Source organism: Homo sapiens, chromosome 14, assembly GCF_000001405.40.
Source record: "Homo sapiens chromosome 14, GRCh38.p14 Primary Assembly".
Taxonomy (NCBI): domain Eukaryota; kingdom Metazoa; phylum Chordata; class Mammalia; order Primates; family Hominidae; genus Homo; species Homo sapiens.
The window spans coordinates 88574034-88592118 of record NC_000014.9 but is presented as its reverse complement, the minus strand read 5'-3'; the positions used below and the strand labels follow the sequence as shown (position 1 = coordinate 88592118).

The window sequence follows — 18085 nt, the reverse complement described above, 5'->3', positions numbered from 1 at the left end:
ACCCATATGGCCCACTATGTCCAGCCCAACTTTAGAATAGAAAATAAGCAAGGACCCTTCCTAAGACTCCAGTGTAAATATTCATCAGCAGAGAAAGCTTATGTATTTTAACATTTACTCCTACCAAGAACTCTGAAGTAAATGCTACCGTTATTCTTCATTTATAGATTAGGAAACTAGGGTACAGAAAGGTTAAATCAACTAGTAAACTGCAGGGTCTGCACCTTCGGTAGTCTGGCTCCTAGGTCCACACTCAAGGACTCTCCCATGATACATTAAGTGGAACAAAAATGTCACAGAGAACTCTGGGTAGTATAATTCCTGCTTTATATGTACATGTGTGTGTGTGCGTAAGTAAACATGTAATTCCACTTTATATACAAAGGGTGCACATGTTCACAGATATAAGAAATGCCTAGAAGACGACACCAATACACATCAAACTTTTAAGTGCAGTTCTTCCCTCCGAGCAAAGCAGGGGGATTTTCCATTTTCTTTGAATGTAAAATCTCCCCTTGACTAAGAATCTTTCACAGTGCTTCCAGTCCAACACAATGTATCAAGCATATACAATTATAATCTCTCCTTCTGAAGAGTCCATAAAAGTGAATTAAAGAACTTAATATCTACATCTCTACCCTATGATCTTTGGGTTTCTGTTCTTTTTTTATTTTATTTTCCGAGATGGAGTCTCACCCTGTCGCTCAGGCTACAGTGGAGTGGCGCAATCTTGGCTCACTGCAACCTCCGCCTCCCAGGTTCAAGCAATTCTCCTGCCTCAGCTTCCCAAGTAGCTGGGATTACAGGCACCCATCACCACACCCGGCTAATTTTTGTATTTTTAGTAGAGACGGCGGTTCACCATGTTGGCCAGGCTGGTCTCGAACTCCTGACCTAATGATCTGCCCGTCTCAGCCTCTCAAATTGCTGGGATTACAGGCGTGAGCCACCAAGCCCGGCAGATTTCTATTCTTATGTTTTCTAATATTCATATCAATACAGCATGTGTACGTAAGTAAAATACATATATTGGTATACATACTTAAAAATGGCTACTGTACAAAAATTTTCAGGTCAAAAATATGATGGAGATCACTGGTTTAGAGATGGGGGTTACAAGGTGCAGCAGATGAGATGTCAACAATCTCTGGGTAATAGAAAATATATGGACAAATACTGGCTGTAAGGCACAGCAGGCAAAACCACAAATGAGCCCCTGTGAAAACTGCAGGTTAGATGCAAGGCAGGAGTGACATTTACTCAGACAACAAACACTGACTGAGCTCCTGCTACTATATGCCAGACACTGCTCTGGGCACTCAGTAACAGCCATACAGAACAAACACATAAATCCCTGCTCAAAAAGGACAGACTCTGTTGAGACGGGGAAGGAGGTAGCTCTCAAGACCCCCAAAAAAATACATGCTAAAAGAAAACAATTCACGTTAAAACATAAAGACCTACGTTCGGATAAAAATACCTAAACTACAAAAACATAAAATATGTATTTGATGGTGACAAACGTTATGGGGAAAAATAAAGCTTCAGAAAAGAGGGAGTGTGGGGATGGGGCCAGAGAAGGCCTCAAAGATGACACATGGATGAGATATGAGAACATCCAAAGTAAACATTCTCAGGAGAGGGCAAAAGCATCTGAGACGCGCAGCTCTTCCAACGTCCTGAAGGACAAGCAGGCCAGTGTGCAGGAGCAGCAGCAAGCACGGGGAGCCAGAGCAGAGGGAGGCAGGTGGGTGATGAGAAGGCAGAACACTGTGACTTACAGTGTGACAGGGAGCCCCTGGGGGGTTCTAAGCTGCAAAGTAGCATGATCTAATTTACAGTGTAAAGGATCACTGCTGCTGCTGTGTGGGATGGACTGAAGGAAGGCAAGTTTGAAAGCAGGCACACCTTGTAAGAACACACTATTCCAATAATCAAGTAACCAAGGCAAATCACAGACGGTGACTTTTTTTTGCCTTTTTTTTTTTGGAGACAGAGTGTCACTGTGTCACCAAGGCTAGAGTGCAGTGGCATGATCTCGGCTCACCGTAACCTCCGCCTCCCAGGTTCAACCAATTCTCGTACCTCAGCCTCCTGAGTAGCTGGGACTACAGGCATGTGCCATCATGCCCAGCTAATATTTGTATTTTTAGTAGAGACGGGGTTTCACTATGCCGGCCAGGCAGGTCTCGAACTCCTAGCCTCATATGATCCACCCGCCTCGGCCTCCCAAAGTGCTGGGATTACAGGCATGAGCCACCGCACCCGGCCAGACAGTGACTTTGATGGGTGGTAGAGGCAGAAGTGATAAACGGTAGTGAATTCTATAAATCTGGAGGTAGAGGCTGACAGGTGGAACAAGGGAAGGAGGGAGACAGAGGTAGAGAGGGAAGAGGAAGGAAAGGAGAAGGAGAGAAAAAAAGAATGGCAACAGGATTCTGTCTCAGAAACTGGAAAGGTGAAGTCACCAATAAACTAAAATGAGGAAGACTACAGGAAGAACAGACAGGAGAGGAAAATTCATAGTTGAGCTTTGGACAAGTTTGAAATGATTTATTACACCTCCAAGAAGAAATATAAAGTGGTTGGACAGAAATGAGGAATTCAGGGCAAGGTCCAGGCTGGAGATATAAAAATGTGAGAGTCACAGTGCAGAGATGATATATCAAGCCTTGAATTTGGATGAAACAAAGGGCCATCCAACTGTGAGAGATTGCAGCAATGAGTAAAAACCAAGAAGGATGTAAGGCAGAGAAGAAGGCTTGTGAATGGTACTGCCAGAGACAGACATTTAAAAGACAAAATTTTAATATTTTTAATAGACAACCAGTAGGAGTGTAAGCATACCAACCTGCTCCCCCAAGAAATTCCTCTACAACTGCAAGGCCAATTGCAGCTCCTTGTCTGCTTCATTGAAAGCTAAACCTGCCTGCAGAAAAGCTCAGCCCACAGCACAATTCTAGGTAAGCCTCTGCACTACCTTTCCTTAAACTAGGAACCACTATCTGCAGATGTTTTTGAAAAAAATTCCATAATCGAAAGAGCAAGAAAAAAAGCATAAAATCTGACTCTGACTCCATTAATTAGAAGACAAGAGTGAATTCCTTGAAAAGAAAAAAAAAATCCCTTTAATTAGGATCTTCAGACAGTTGAGATGATTCTGTATCCACAAAGTAAGATACTATGAAAAATAGAACAAGAAAAAGTTTGTGGAAATTAAAAAATATGCTTGCCTACATTTTTAAAATGTTCAGTAAGGAGACTAAAGATCAAGTCAAGCAAGTATTCAAGAGTAGACCAACAAGATCAAGTCAAAAATCAAGAGAGAAAAAATATACAACTGACAGATTAAAGTAAGGGCTTATCATCCAACTAACAGAATTTCCACCAGAGAACAATGAAAACAAGGACAGCAAATTTTAAAACAAATAATGCAAGAGTATTTCCCACACGGAAGAGAATGAATTTTCAAATTAAAAGGGTACCTAATGTACCTAACTAGCATCTAGACATACCACAGTGAAATTTCAGACACCAGGAACATAGAAAAAAAAAAGTTCCCGGAGAAAAAAATCCCAGGTATTACACAATGGAATAAGATGGGCAACCAAGTTCTCAGCATCAACACTGAAGCCTCAAGATAATGAAACTATGCCTTCAAAGTTCTGAAGAAAATGACTTCAACCTATAATTCTGTACCTAGTCAAAGTATCAAACAAGTACAAGGATAGCTTCAGATTTCCAAGAACTCAGAAAATTTACCTTCTATACTTTCTTAAGGAGTTTCTTTGTGACGTGATTACAAAACGGAGAAATGCACTGAGAAGACAAAATGGAATTCAGGAATTGCAGAGCCGACTCAGGGGAGGAGGGCGCCTCGGGATGATGGCCTTGAGCAGGCCTAGAGCAAGCAGTGAGGTCAGAAAAGGAGGAGAGAGGCTCCAGGAGGAAGGTACCTAAGAAAAAGTGGGAAACCCAAAGATTTCAAAGCACAGAGTGATAAGACTTTTAGGCTACAGTACAGGTAGGCAATGAAAGAAGGGAAAAAAGAAGAACCTAAGGGAAACAAAAAAGGGGGAAAAATTAAAAAAACTCTAGAGAGTTCCCACACAAAACTGTACAAGAAACAGAATGTAAATTTGGCCTTGTAATATTTATATAGTCTTTAAAATTTTTTTTTTATTTTTAGAGACAGGGTCTTGGTCTGTCACCCAGGCTGGCACAATCACAGCTCACTGTAACCTCGAACTCCTGGGCTCAAGCAATTCTCCAGAGTAGCCATGACTATAGGTGCACATCATCACACCCAGCTAATTAAAAAACATTAAAATATATATATAGATGAGGGTCTCGCTATGTTGCCCACGCTGGCCTCAAATTCCTAGGCTCAAGCAAATCTCCCACCTCAGCCTCCTAAAGTGCTGGGATTACAGGTGTGAGCCACCAACCATGCCCAGACTAAATAGTCTTAACAGTGTAAATGCTTACTGTTTCTCAACTTAGAGTCAATCGACTAAGTCTTAACTAAAGTAGGGAACAAAATGTAAATTTGATCAGCTTTGACAATATAAAAGAACAGGTGACAATTTAGAAGGTGGAGGCAGGACAGAATGTAGGTGGCGGCAAGAAAGAAAATATAAGACTTGAAAGAGAGGCCTGGCATGGTGGCTTATGCCTGTAATCCCAGCACTTTGGGAGGACAAGGTGGGCAGACTGCCTGAGCTCAGGAGTTTGAGACCAGCCTGGGCATGATGGTGAGACCCTGTCTCTACTAAAAATTTTATTAAAAATTCCAGGTGTGGCAGGGTGTGCCTGTAGTCCCAAGCTACTAAGGAGGCTGAGGCAGGAGAATCACTTAAACCCAGGAGGCAGAGGTTGCAGTGAGCCAGGATTACGCCACTGCACTCCAGCCTGGGTGACAAAAGTGAGACTCTACCTCCAAAAAAAAAAAGGAATTGAAGGATACATATCTTTCAGAAGTCAAAATATACTGAAATATAACCAGACAAGAAATATTTAAGTTACTACTTAAAATTACTAAAGTAACCAATAAATGAATTAAAAATTGATTTTGCTGTATGAGCTTGGAAGCAAGGGAAAAGTATAAATGGGCTAGAACCTGACATACAGCAAGAAATCAACAGGTACTATCTAGTTGGTCAATGAAGAAACAGTATAAAGCATATTATTACAACACGGAGAAAGAAACAGAAGCATTTAAAAGTGGGGGATTCTGCGGAGTGGGACTAGTATAGAGAAGAATGAAGTAAGGAATGTTGCTTTTTATTTTTAATCTTTTTTATACTATTTGATTATTTTCTCATCTATCAGGAGATATTACATTGATATGCTTTCTTTTTCCAGATTTTCTATGGTGAGCATGTATTTCATAATGCATTTTATTTCAAATATATGGGATGCTTCCATACATTATACCAAACAGGAAAAATAAAAGGAAATCCACGCCTAGACACATCGTAGTGAAACTGCAGAACATCAAACACAAAGAGAAGATCTTGAAAGCAGCCAGAGAGAAAGGACAGATCACCTACAAAGGAACGACAGACAATTAGAATGATAGAAGTCCACTCAACAATGGAAAGCAGAAGACAGTGGGATAATAATATATATAAGGTGTGGAGAGCAAATAACTAACAACCTAGATTTGGGTATCCAGCAAAACTACTGCACAAGAACACAAAGAAAGAAAACACTCACAGGTGAATAGACTCTTGGAAAATATATTGCCAACAGACATGTTTCAGTGAAACTTCCAAAAAAATACTTCAAAAATACTTCAAAATATTGGAAAATAATGATCCCCAAATAACACTCAGAGATGTTAAGAATAAGTAAAATGATAAACAGGAGGTAAACCTCAAAAAACATTGCCTGGAAAAAATTACAAAAATGTTGTCCAACTTGTGTATTTTATTTTACTTATTTTTTTTGATAAGGAGTGTCGCTTTGTCGCTCAGGCTGGAGTGCAGCGGCGCAATCTCAGCCCACTGCAACCTCTGCCTCCTGGGTTCAAGCGATTCTTCTGCCTCAGCCTCCTGAGTAGCTGGGACTACAGGTGTGTGCCACCATGCCTGGCTAATTTTTCTATTTTTAGTAGAGACAGGGTTTCACCATATGGTCAGGCTGGTCTCGAACTCCTGACCTCAGGTGATCCACCCGCCTCAGCCTCCCAAAGTGCTGGGATTACAGGCATGAGCCACCGCACCCGGCCCAACTTGTGCATTTTAAAAAAGATCAAATTGAAACACTGGAAACAAGTAAATGAGGAGGATAAAGACTGAAGCTCTTCATAGGTATTCAAAAGTCCTTTTACTGTTTGAGAGTGGGGTCAGGATATTAACTTTTAGAATACTAAATTAAATTTGTGTGGTAAAATTTCACTGGTAACGACTAAAAGAACAGAAATGAGGCCAAGCATGGTGGCTCACACCTATAATCCCAACACTTTGGGAGGCTGAAGCGGGCAGATAACAAGGTCAGGGGATCAGAGATCAAGAGATTGAGACCATCCTGGCCAATATGGTGAAACCTCGTCTCTATTAAAAATACAAAAATTAGCTGGGCGTAGTGGTGGGCGTCTATAATCCCAGCTACTTGGGAGGCTGAGGCAGGAGAATCACTTGAACCAAGGAGTCGGAGGTTGCGGTGAGCCGAGATCGCGCTACTACACTCCAGCCTGGCAACAAAGTGAGACTCCGTCTCAAAAAAAAAAAAAAAGAACAGAAAGGGAAGGTTTAAACAGTAAACTAGTTTAAAATTGTAGAACCAGGGTTAGGGTTGTCAACAATAACAGTAATTAATGAACCTTAAAAAACATGAGAAAAAACAGAAAAGCAGGCAAATGCAAATCAGCAATGATGACAGAAAGTAATCCAACTATACCAGTAATTGTAATAAATGTGACTGGTCTAAACTCTCCAATAAAAGGCAAACTCAGATGAGATTAAAAAACAAAATCCAGCTTTATAATATTTAAGATATAATATATAGTTGACCCTTAAACAATATGAGGGCTAAGGGAACCAATCCCCCAACAACAGTTGAAAACCCACATACAACTTTTGACTTCCCAAACATTTAACTACTTACTGTTGCCAACGTAGCTGCAGTGGCAGCTTCATACATTTTTTTCTTTTTCTTTTTTTTTTAACCATGGTTCTTATGTTAAATTCATTTATCCAGAAATGGTGAATAACTGCAGCCACAGTTGTAACATGTATCTTTGGTACATACTGAGCAATGGTTTCTTGTAATGTCATGACTTTTCTCTACTTCTTGGGAGCATGTCCAGCATCACCAGTAGCACATTATGGGTCCCCTGGTGTTATTCAAGGTTTACAGTATTGCACTAAACATGATGAAAAATATGCAAGAACTGCGAGATCACCTTTCACTGCAATTCACAATTTACTGGAGAGCTGAACTGTCGCAGAGATGGTTGCATCACACAGCATTTTAAGTGGACACTCAAAACACCTTAGCTTACCATAAAGCAACAGGAGGTAACTACAAAATTATTACAGTAGTACAGTATGTACTATAGTAAATCTTATGTAGCTATTACTGCATCTTTATGTTTGCTTACATTTCTCTCAACTACAAGCGGTATCATGTAAAGTCTGTGTTTGTGTGCATATATTTTGATAAATTAAACTTCATAATAGATGTGTATGTTTTAAGATAGTAAATGTTAGTCTAGTAGCTACATATATTTTATGTGTTCATGACATACCTAAATTTTTCTTAATTTTGTCACTATTTCTAGGCTATATAGTTTATCTACAAGTTTTTTCAAATTGCCACATCTCAAAAAATATTTCCAATATATTTATTTTCAAAAATCCACATATAAGTGTATGAGTGGACCCACACAGTTCAAACTTGTCTGGTTCAAGGGTCAACTGTATATACCTAAAGCATGAGAGAGAAAACTGAAAACAAAGGCAGGGAAACCAGATATATAAAGCAAATATAATTAAATGGCTATATTAATATCAGGCAAAACTGACTTTGAGATAAAAACATCTTTTTTGCAGAGGGTCATAAATCAAGATAAGGGATTCAATTTGCAGAGAAGATATAACAAATTTAAATATGTATGCACCTAATAGTATATAACAGCCTAAAAATAAAGCAAAAACTTGATATAAGTACAAGAGAAATTAAGATAAATCTGTCATCATGTTGGGCAATTTCAACACCCTTTCTCAAGTGGTAAGTCAAGCAGCACAAAAACTCAGCAAGGTCAAGATTTGAATAATGTTAACAGTAGAGCTTTATCTACTGAATAAATGTAAAATTCCCCATCCAATAATTAGTCCACTTTCTTCCAAAATGCATGTGGAAGATGCATAAACTTGATTATGCACTAAGCAAGTGTTAACAATTTTCAAAAACTATGCATTGTAAAAATTACATTATCTAACCACAATGCAATTAAGTCAGGTGTCTATAATAAAAAGGATTAAAAGACAAAAACACATACCACTTCCAAATACTGTATAGAAAACACACTTTCAATGATGAAAATTATAATGGAAATTAAAGACACTCTGATAATGAAAACATGATGAATTAAAACCTGTCATATGTATTCTTCTCAAATGCTTACATTTGAGAAGAAGACAGCCTGAGGTAAATAATTTTTAAAATATGGAAGGATAAATTAAAAGAGAAGTCGGGCCAGGTGCAGTGGCTCACACCTGTAAACCTAGCACTTTGGGAGGCTGAGGCAAGAGGGCTGCTTGAGCTCAGGAGTTCCAGACCAGCCTGGGCAACATAGTGAGACTCCATCTTTACAAAAAAACTTAAACATTAGCTGGGCGTGGTGGCGTGTGCCTATGGTCCCTGAGGTGGGAGGATCATTTGAGCCCAGGCATTTGAGGTTGCAGTGAGCTACAATTGTGCCACTGTACTCTAGCCTAGGTGACAGTGAGACCTCGCCTCTTAAAAAAAAAAAATAAAAAAAAAGCACAAGTCAATGAAATAGAAAACAAAAACACCAAAAAAAAAAAAAAATCAATAAAGCCAGAATAATGTTGTTAAGTCTTTGAAAAGATCGGCAAAATAAACTTCTAGTGACAGACTGATGGCAAGACAAAAAGCAAAAAGTACACATATTATGAGGTGGGTGCGCTAGTAAAAATAAAGACACCAGAGAAATGAGAGAATGCTATCTGCTCAAACAAAAGAAGAAAAAAAATTAACAACTTATGCCAATACGAGTGCATGTTTATATTTTAAAAACCTGCCCCAGATTATACCGTACAACAGTGAGTAACCACATTAACAGATAACAGTTGCTTGCAGTATCACTTCACACTTGTGAATATATCTAGTAATACCAAACTCCTCATCAGCAAAGGTACCTGACACCATTTCAATTATCCCCTTTTAAAACACAGTATAGAAAACCACACAAACATATAGCTTAATGAATTTTTGTAAGGCAAAACACCCTTCTGACTACCATCCAAGTCAAAAGAGAGAACGTCATCTGCCACCCCAGAAGCCTCTCTGTGTGCTCCATCTTTATCGGTCCTCTTCAAAAGCAACCACTATGTGCTTTTTATATTAACGCCTAGAGGTTCTTTATAATTTCACACACACTGGGTATCCCTAGCCACTACAATTTAATCCTGCTCCTTTTATTTTCCTTTGATTTGCCTTTTAATCTCAATTTCTCAGGCTATTCAACCCACAGTGTCCCAAACACTATTTTTCCGGCTGCACACTCATGGTGAAGCTCAACCAACATACTCCTCTGGCCTCTGCAACTTCTTGCAAACTGACTGCTGGACTGGGAGCTTGATGACTTAGGTTTACATTTTTGGCAAGACAAAAGTTCTGTTCTTTTGTATCAAGAGGCACAAAACAACTGGTTTTCACTCTTAAAAGCATAACTCTAATCCTACCATCTTGTTCTCTTATCAGCTGAAATCATTTTAAAAGAAAATGTTTCTCTCATCTACTATATCAGAGGTTGGCAAATCTTTTAGGCTATTTTAGGCTATGCAAGCTATATGGTCTGTTGCAACTATTCAACTAAGGCTGTAGTATGAAAGTAGCCACGGACAATACATACATGAATAGGCACGGTTTGGTTCCAACAGATGCCAACTCCTGTCCTATGGGGTTACCCAGTGGTATCGTTCTCACAGAAAAGACAGCATAAATGTTCAATTATTTTATTTACCCAGTTTTCAAGACAATGAATGATTATCTACTACCTTCCAGAAGGTGACTAGTTAGAGCTTATTTTTTTAAAATGTCATTATGAAATTGTGGATTTAAATGGGCTTTAATTCACCGCGATATTTACACCTACTGAATCTCAAATAATTCCATTTTTGGCCAATGGAAACCTCTAAGTTGGCGCCTGCATCCTTTGGACGTGGTCTACCATTCATTGACAGCTTCTTTGCTATCTGGGATGTTGAGCCATTCCAGGATCATGTTAACATTTCCTGCCCCAGACCTGGAAAAAGACATTTCTCAAGAAGCCTAGTTCTTTGTTTTTTTATTTTTATTTTTTCTTGAGACGGAATCTCACTCTGTTGCCCAGGCTGGAGTACGGTGGCACAATCTTGGCTCACTGCAACCTCCGCCTCCCGGATCCAAGCGATTCTCCTGGCTCAGCCTCCCGAGTAGCTAGGACTACAGGCGCACACCACAACACCCAGCTAATTTTTTTGTATTTTTAGTAGAGATGGGGTTTCACCACACTGGCCAGGCTGCTTTTGAACTCCTGACCTCAGGTGATCTGCCCACCTCGGCTTCCCAAAGTGCTGGGATTACAGGCGTGAGCAACTGCACCCAGCCCAAGAAGCCTAGTTTTTTAAATAGGAAGTATTCCAAGACCACAATCTGGGAACTACAGATGATGCTAAGGGTTGATGAATGTTTCTATGCCTTCTAGTAGACAGAACTAGAAAAAAATGTATTTATATATAAAATACACTGTGAGTTCCGAAACATTTCCAATGTAAATTCAGGACAACAGGCTTTTACTTGTCTGAAGCTCATCCTCCATTAGATTTCCTAAGAAAAGTTCATGGGAATGAGTCTCTGAATTTCTGCATATAGATAACAGTTGGTGCTGGATCACTTCTAAAGGTCACTTTTGCTGGACATTAAATTCTTGGCTCACATTTTCTTTTCTGGAGTATCTTAAATATGCTAGTCCATTTTCTTCCAGCACAAAAGTGATGCTGTTGAAAAGTTTGATGATAATCTACCTTTCCTTTTCTTCTAAGTCATGTGCCCCTTTTGCCTGAATGTCCAAATCATTTTTTTTCTTTTTAAAATTTCATTAATTATATAATACATCTTAGTGTTATGGTTCTGGGTAAATATTCTCAGGTATACTGTACAATTTTTCAGACAACAGTTTCAAACATGTTTTCACTTCATGAAAGTTTTCTTGAAAGACAGTTAATGTTTGCTCTGTTCCTCTGAATATTGTTTCTTTGGAGATTCCTACTATAAAAACACTGTATTTCTATTGCCTATTATCAATATTTGCCACTTTCTCATGAGCCCTTTTAGACTTTTAAAATGTTCTTGTCTTTTATCTTCAATTTCTCTGAAGATGTTTTAATTTTATTTATTTTTAAATTGCTGTTTTCTGTAGCCATAAGGTTTTGCTATGTTGCCCTGGCTGATCTTCAACTCCTGGCCTCAAGTGATCCTCCCGCCTTGGCCTCCCAAATTGCTGGGATTACACGCATGTTTTATTTTATTAAGACGCACTAATTCTTTCGAGTTCTTTCTAATTTAGTCTTCATTTATTTTGAGACACAGTCTCACTCTATCGCCCAAACTAGATGGCAATGGCATGATCATGGCTCACTGCAACCTCAGCCTCCTGGGCTCCAGCAATCCTCCCACCTCAGCCTCCCTGGAGGGCAATGGTATGATCGTGGCTCACTGCAACCTCAGCCTCCTGGGCTCCAGCAATCCTCCCACCTCAGCCTCCCGGGCTCCAGCAATCCTCCCACTTCAGCCTCCCAAGGAGACAGGACTACAGGTGTATACCTTGCCCAGCTAATATTTTTATTTTTTGTCGAGACAGGGTTTTGCTATGCTGCCCAGGCTAGTCTCAAGTGATCCTCCTGCCTCAGCCTCCCAAAGTGTTGGGATTACAGGCATGAGCCACTGCACCCAGCCTCAAAGTTCTTCTGTTTTATGTTTTTCTTGGCTTTGTCTTGTATTATTTAAATAATGTCTTCTAGCTCACTTTGAAATTGTATTTCTTTTTGGTATACCTTTCAGCATGCTTTCATTGAAACAATGCTGTTTTGTCTTTTATTCCCTTTTATCTTTTAATTCGGCACAGGACTTGACCTTGATACTTTTCTGTTGTTCATTTTAGGGGAAAGTTTGCTTTGGATAGCTATTCTAACTTCAGAATCAACAACCTTCTTCTGTTGATTTTGTGATGTTAAAAAATATGGCACCTTGCTTTGAGATTTCCTATTGTTTTCCTCTCCTATTTTTATCTGACATTCTTTCCTTTTCTCTATTGTCTGTTTCCCTGCTCCATCTGATTCCACTCCAAGACTCTCACGTAGAGTCCTGTGTTTGAAGAAAACCTTGGTGCAACACACTACAGACTCCACAGGGAGTAGACCACTGCAGTCCTTTTAGATCAGCCTCATCTGCCACTGCACTGAGCAAAATCCCTCCTCAGTTTCAGCTCCTCTTCTCAATTTGGCCCATTCACATTTTCCAATTGGTACCTATCTGCTGTTTGGGGACCAAACAGGTCTTGTCCTCAGGCCTATCAATTATCAGAATAGTATATAACGCTGTCATGGCAAACTGAACAATACAGTCAAAAATTTTTAAAGAGACACAATGAGGAAACAAATACAGAATTGACAATTCTGAAATCATAAGGTTTCATGAAACCTGGAACAATTTAAAGGACAGTTTTGAAGAAATGAAAAAATATATTCCAAGGTTCTTGAAAAGTATGTGAGAAATAACATAATAAGCATATAGATTTTTTTGGTGGGGTCTTAAAATTCAAATCTTAGTAGAAAAAGAAACAGAAGAAAAAAGAATCCTTCTTGACGACAAAAGAGACAAAAGGTCTGAAGAGTCATGGAGAAGGGCTGTGCAGGCCCAGGGGTCAGATAACAGACACCAAAAGTCCAAACTAATAGCGTTAGTTCTGGGTAATGAGGAGGAGGGGAGAGATACTTTCACAAAGGAGTCAGAAGATGAGAGACACACTTTCAAAGTCAAAAGATTGTATAGGAATTGGGGGAGAAAGCTGAGAAAAAAGCAAAAAAAAAAAAAAAAAAAAAAAACCTGGAAGCAAACTGAAGTATGTTAGGCACGAGGGGATAAATTAGGGTTGCTGGGACACATATGGGAGGTCAGAGACAGGATGCTTAAGAGACGGGAGATTTAAAGGTAACTAAAATTTCAAGTTCAGGTAAACGGGCAGGATCAACAAAAAGAGAAAAAGAAAGAATGCAGAAATAAATATATCTTTAAGAAGGAGCTATCTAAAGACCAGCAAAATTCTGATAATAACTAAGGCTTAATGACTGGGTTCATGAGAGTTCACTGTACTAGCCTTTCCATTTTTGAGAATATTAAAAATTTCCACAATAAAAAGACTTTCAAAAATTTCTAGAAAGGGCTGGGTGCAGTGGCACACACTTGTACACACCTCCAGCTACTAAGGATGCTGAGGCAGGAGGACTGCTTGAGCCCAGGAGTTTGAGGACTGCCTGGGCAACACAGCAAGACCCTACCTCTTTAAAAAAAAAATTTTTTTCTGAAGTGTTGGTATGAACCTTCCTCATGGTATTCTTCTCATTCTATTTCTGGGCTTAATCATCACTTTTTTCATAGTGTAATATTTCATAAAAATCCATTGGAAAATATTCAATGCCTCATGAAAAAACTGTAGTAAAGAGTGAAACATCATTTAAGTTATTACCTTGATTTTTTTCTACAGAATCTCCTTTTGTTTCCTCTTCTTTAATGGGGGGACTTATTCTGGGGGTCCTACTTTGTCCCTGGACCACTTCTGCTAGCAATTCTTCTTGAGAAGTTCGAGTTCTGGGAGCAACTGGAAGTGTCTGTTTCTGTGGAACTTTCACATAAAAGCAAAAAAGATAGAAATACAAATGCAGTAATACGTCAAAACTCCACAGTGACTATGTCATATTAAATATAAATGCCTCCTTTGGTTTAGGACATATGAGTTCAGGCTGGGCGCAGTGGCTCATGCCTGTAATCTCAGCACTTTGGGAGGCAAGGTGGGTGGATCACTTGAGGTCAGGAGTTTGAGACCAGCCTGGCCAACATGGTAAAACCTCGTTTCTACTAAAAATACAAACACTAGCCGGGCATAGTGGCACACACCTGTAATCCCAACTACTCAGGAGGCTGAGGCAGGAGAATTGCTTAAACCCGGAAGGCGGAGGTTGCAGTGAGCCGAGATTGCACCACTGTGCACTCCAGCCTGGGCAACAGAGTGAGACTCTGTCTCCAAAAAAAAAAGAAAAAGAAAAGAAAAGAACATATATATGAGGAGTTCAATCCATAGATACCATTCATTTTTTCTTACGTTACTGAGATAGATACCTGAACCTATTTATCCAAACATATGTAAACAATATCCATACAACCACATACCATGAATACAATATAGTACATATGTATTCATTTTCAACAAAATGCGGTTTATTTAAGCTTAGCTTCATGATCTTATATGAGTTTCAAATTGTAATTTAGATAACCTAGGTAAAGAAAGAAAATTTCAAAGTCATGGAACTTCTCTAAACTTCTCATCATTCTAGACAATTAATATTGCTGATAGATCAGGAAATGAAATGTAGATATATCATTAGGTCAAGAGTGCGCCTTTGCCTGATAATCTTTATTCTATATGCCAAAACCTGTTGAATTTTGTGTTCAAGGTTAAATTAGGGATGAGGAGAACCAAGAGGACAGACAAGTATCAGGATCAAAAACTGATGGTGCCAGGCGCGGTGGCTCACGCTTGTAATCCCAGCATTTTGGGAGGCCGAGGAGGCAGGTGATCACCTGAGGTCAGGAGTACGAGACCAGCCTGGCCAACATGGTGGAACCCCGCCTCTACTAAAAATACAAAAAAATTAGCCTGGCATGGTAGTGGGCGCCTGTAATCCCAGCTACTTGGGAGGCTGAGGCAGGAGAATCGCTTGGACCCAGGAGGCAGAGATTGCAGTAAGCCAAGATCACACCACTGCACTCCAGCCTGGGCAACAGAGCAAGACTTCGCCTCAAAAAAAGAAAACAAATAAAAAAACTGATGGCTACAGTTTACCTCATTTTAGGAAGGGGGGTCACAAAAAAAAGCGAGAGAGTGGATAAGCAGGGCAATGCTGTAAGTACACCCACCAAATCCACAGCAAAACTTAAATCTTTTTAGAGTAGCTCATTACCATCAGCTTCTTAACACAAGTTTACACATTGGCTACAACAGGTCGGCCAGAGAGTACAGAATTTGACAACACAAAATGACACCCATCAGTTGTTTGCATTTCAGAATCAGCTTTCCGTAAGACCAGCTTACAGCTGATTCATCTCCTGTTTTGAAAACGTAATACTTTTATATTCTCTCATAAAATTATTCAGTACTTCCACTAGAATTGGAGCAGGAACATCACAAATGAGTCAATTCTCTGCCTTATATTCTACTAATGAGTTCCGCCAAAAGGGAAGAAACCAACCTTGTTTATATACTACTGTTTAACAAATTTCTATAACTTCAGATACCTATCATTGTCCAATTGTACTCCCCTTTACACATCGTAAATTCATATCTAATGTTGAATCTAATGCTACTAATATGAAAGTCCTACTTCATCAAAATTCTCTTCAAAATATTTACGTACTATATATTTTACACACATTGGAAAGATATAAAAGGCATTATATGGTGCTTGAAAAACTACAGTCCAATAACAGTTGGCGAAGTTTCTCAAACTTGTCAATTTCCTTTTAAAGCCATTTTTCTATATGGGAACCTCATCTTGGTCTTGACATCTGACAGGCACCTTTATTTTACAATTTAAGGAGCAATCATTTTCACCTTACTCAAGAATTACAGAAATGTCTTACCAAGTGTAAACATAATACATTTAAATTACCTGTAGAGTAGTTAGTTGTTTTTGTTACGGATTCTTGAGCTTCAGATATAGCCTTCAAAATCAGATTCTTGTTAGCTTGTTTAGAAGGTGGAAGAGAAGGTCTAAAAGAGTTAAGAAAGGTATTTTTATTAAACTTTAAATTTCAGTTCCTCACAGGCCAGCCATCTATTATGCCTTTACCACAACCTTCTCTAGGTTTTAAACAGACTAGCTGCAGTTTTTAGAAAATGCCAACTACACTGGAACCTTATTTTTTTTTTTAGACAGACTCTTACTCTCTCACCCAGGATGGAGTGTGATGTCACTGCAGCCTTAAACTTCTAGGCTCAAGCAATGCTTCCACATCCACCTCTCCAGTCCAGGACTACAGGTGCCTGCCACAATGACCAACTAATTTATTTTAATTTTTTTTAAGAGACAAAGACTCATTACATCGCCCAGGCTGGTCTCGAACTCCTGGTCTCAAGCAATCCTCCTGCCTCAGCCTCCCAAAGTGCTAGGTACAGGCATGAGCCACCATGCCTAGGCCCCTTTTAGTTTTTTTAAATAATAAATCTGAATCTTAATTGATGTTGTTCCTCCTCACCCCACCATATTAGTCAATATTCTCTGCAATCCTCTCCAATGTTAAGCAATTTCTCTCATTAACGTGTTTCTCAAAACCCAATGGAAAAGTCTTACACGGTATTACATTAAATATTTATGTCAGGTGCGGTGGCTCATGCCTGTAATCCCAACACTTTGGGAAGCTGAGGAGGGCAGATCACCTGAGGTCAGGAGTTCGAGACCAGCCTGGTCCAACATGGTGAAACACCATCTCTACTAAAAATACAAAAATTAGCTGGTCATGGTAGTGCACACCTATAATCCCAGCTATTCAGGAGGCTCAATCAGGAGAATCACTTGAACCTGGGAGGCAGAGGTTGCAGTGAGCCGAGATCGTGGCACTGCACTCCAGCCTGGTTGACAGAGCGAGACTCCGTCTCAAAAAACAAACAAAAATTATTTTCGTGATTATTCTCTTCAATAAATCAGGAAGACTCCACCAAGGCAGTTAAAGATTAATTTACAGCCATGTTCAAGGTACCTCCTTTCAGGCTTTGCAGGCACAGACACACTGCTGGAGATGCTTCCTGTTCGAGACCCGTAATCATCATCTTCTTCCTCCTCTTCTCCATCATGATTGAATTTTTTTACTTTAACAACTGAACTTACCACAGGCAACTTTCTCTTCCGAAAGTTTTCATCCTGCAATCAGATAAAATTTATGCTTACCTAATCTCAGAAAATAACAAGAGTTCTACCACAAAATGTTTCCATTTTAAGAAAAAAACAGTACACAGTAATATGAGAAATTCACAGAGTATTTCTTGGTTTTATGTAAAAATATAAATATGAGGCTGGGTGTGGTGGCTCACATCTGTAATCCTAGCACTTTGGAAGGCCGAAGTGGGCGGATCACAAGGTCAGGATTTCGAGACCAGCCTGGCCAATATGGTGAAACCCTGTCTCTATAAAAATACAAAAATTAGCTGAGCGTGGCGGCATGTGCCTGTAGTCCGAGCTACTCGGGAGGCTGAGGCAGAAGACTCACTTGAACCCGGGAGGTGGAGGATGTAGGGAGCCAAGATCATGCCACTGCACTCCAGCCTGGGCGACAGAGTGAGACACCGTATCAAAATAAATAAATAAATAAATACTATAAATATAAATATTATCCCTAACAGTCAACCTTTAGCTAAAACAAAAATTAGAACTTTACATTTATTTTATCAACAGCTGCATATAGTGCTATTGAGGAAACTAATAAAACAGAGTTAATTGGTTGCTCACTAGCAATTACCATGAACAATCTAAAATTGATTGAAACCCCCCAAATTAATTTAAGATTAATATCTCAAATGCTG

At 39.4% G+C, this 18085-nt stretch overlaps 1 protein-coding gene across 29 annotated transcripts in view; it reads right to left on the bottom strand.

Moving 5' to 3' along the window:
• Nucleotides 1-18085, bottom strand: part of ZC3H14 (zinc finger CCCH-type containing 14) — a 64560-nt gene that overhangs the window by 35478 nt on the left and 10997 nt on the right. For 26 of the 29 annotated variants that reach the window (NR_136936.2, NM_001326297.2, NM_001326315.2 and 23 more), the window contains 3 exons: nt 17266-17426; nt 16179-16279; nt 13979-14134 (listed from right to left, as the gene is read on the bottom strand). Coding sequence is in view for 28 of the 29 variants with exons in the window: in NM_001326297.2 (NP_001313226.1) it covers nt 13979-14134; nt 16179-16279; nt 17266-17426 (418 nt within the window). In the remaining variant the exon portion in view is untranslated. Of the gene's footprint in view, nt 1-5383; nt 5549-13978; nt 14135-16178; nt 16280-17265; nt 17427-18085 lie in introns of those variants that run through there. The other 3 variants (NM_001326313.2, NM_001326306.2, XM_011537162.4) reach the window with 2 other exon arrangements.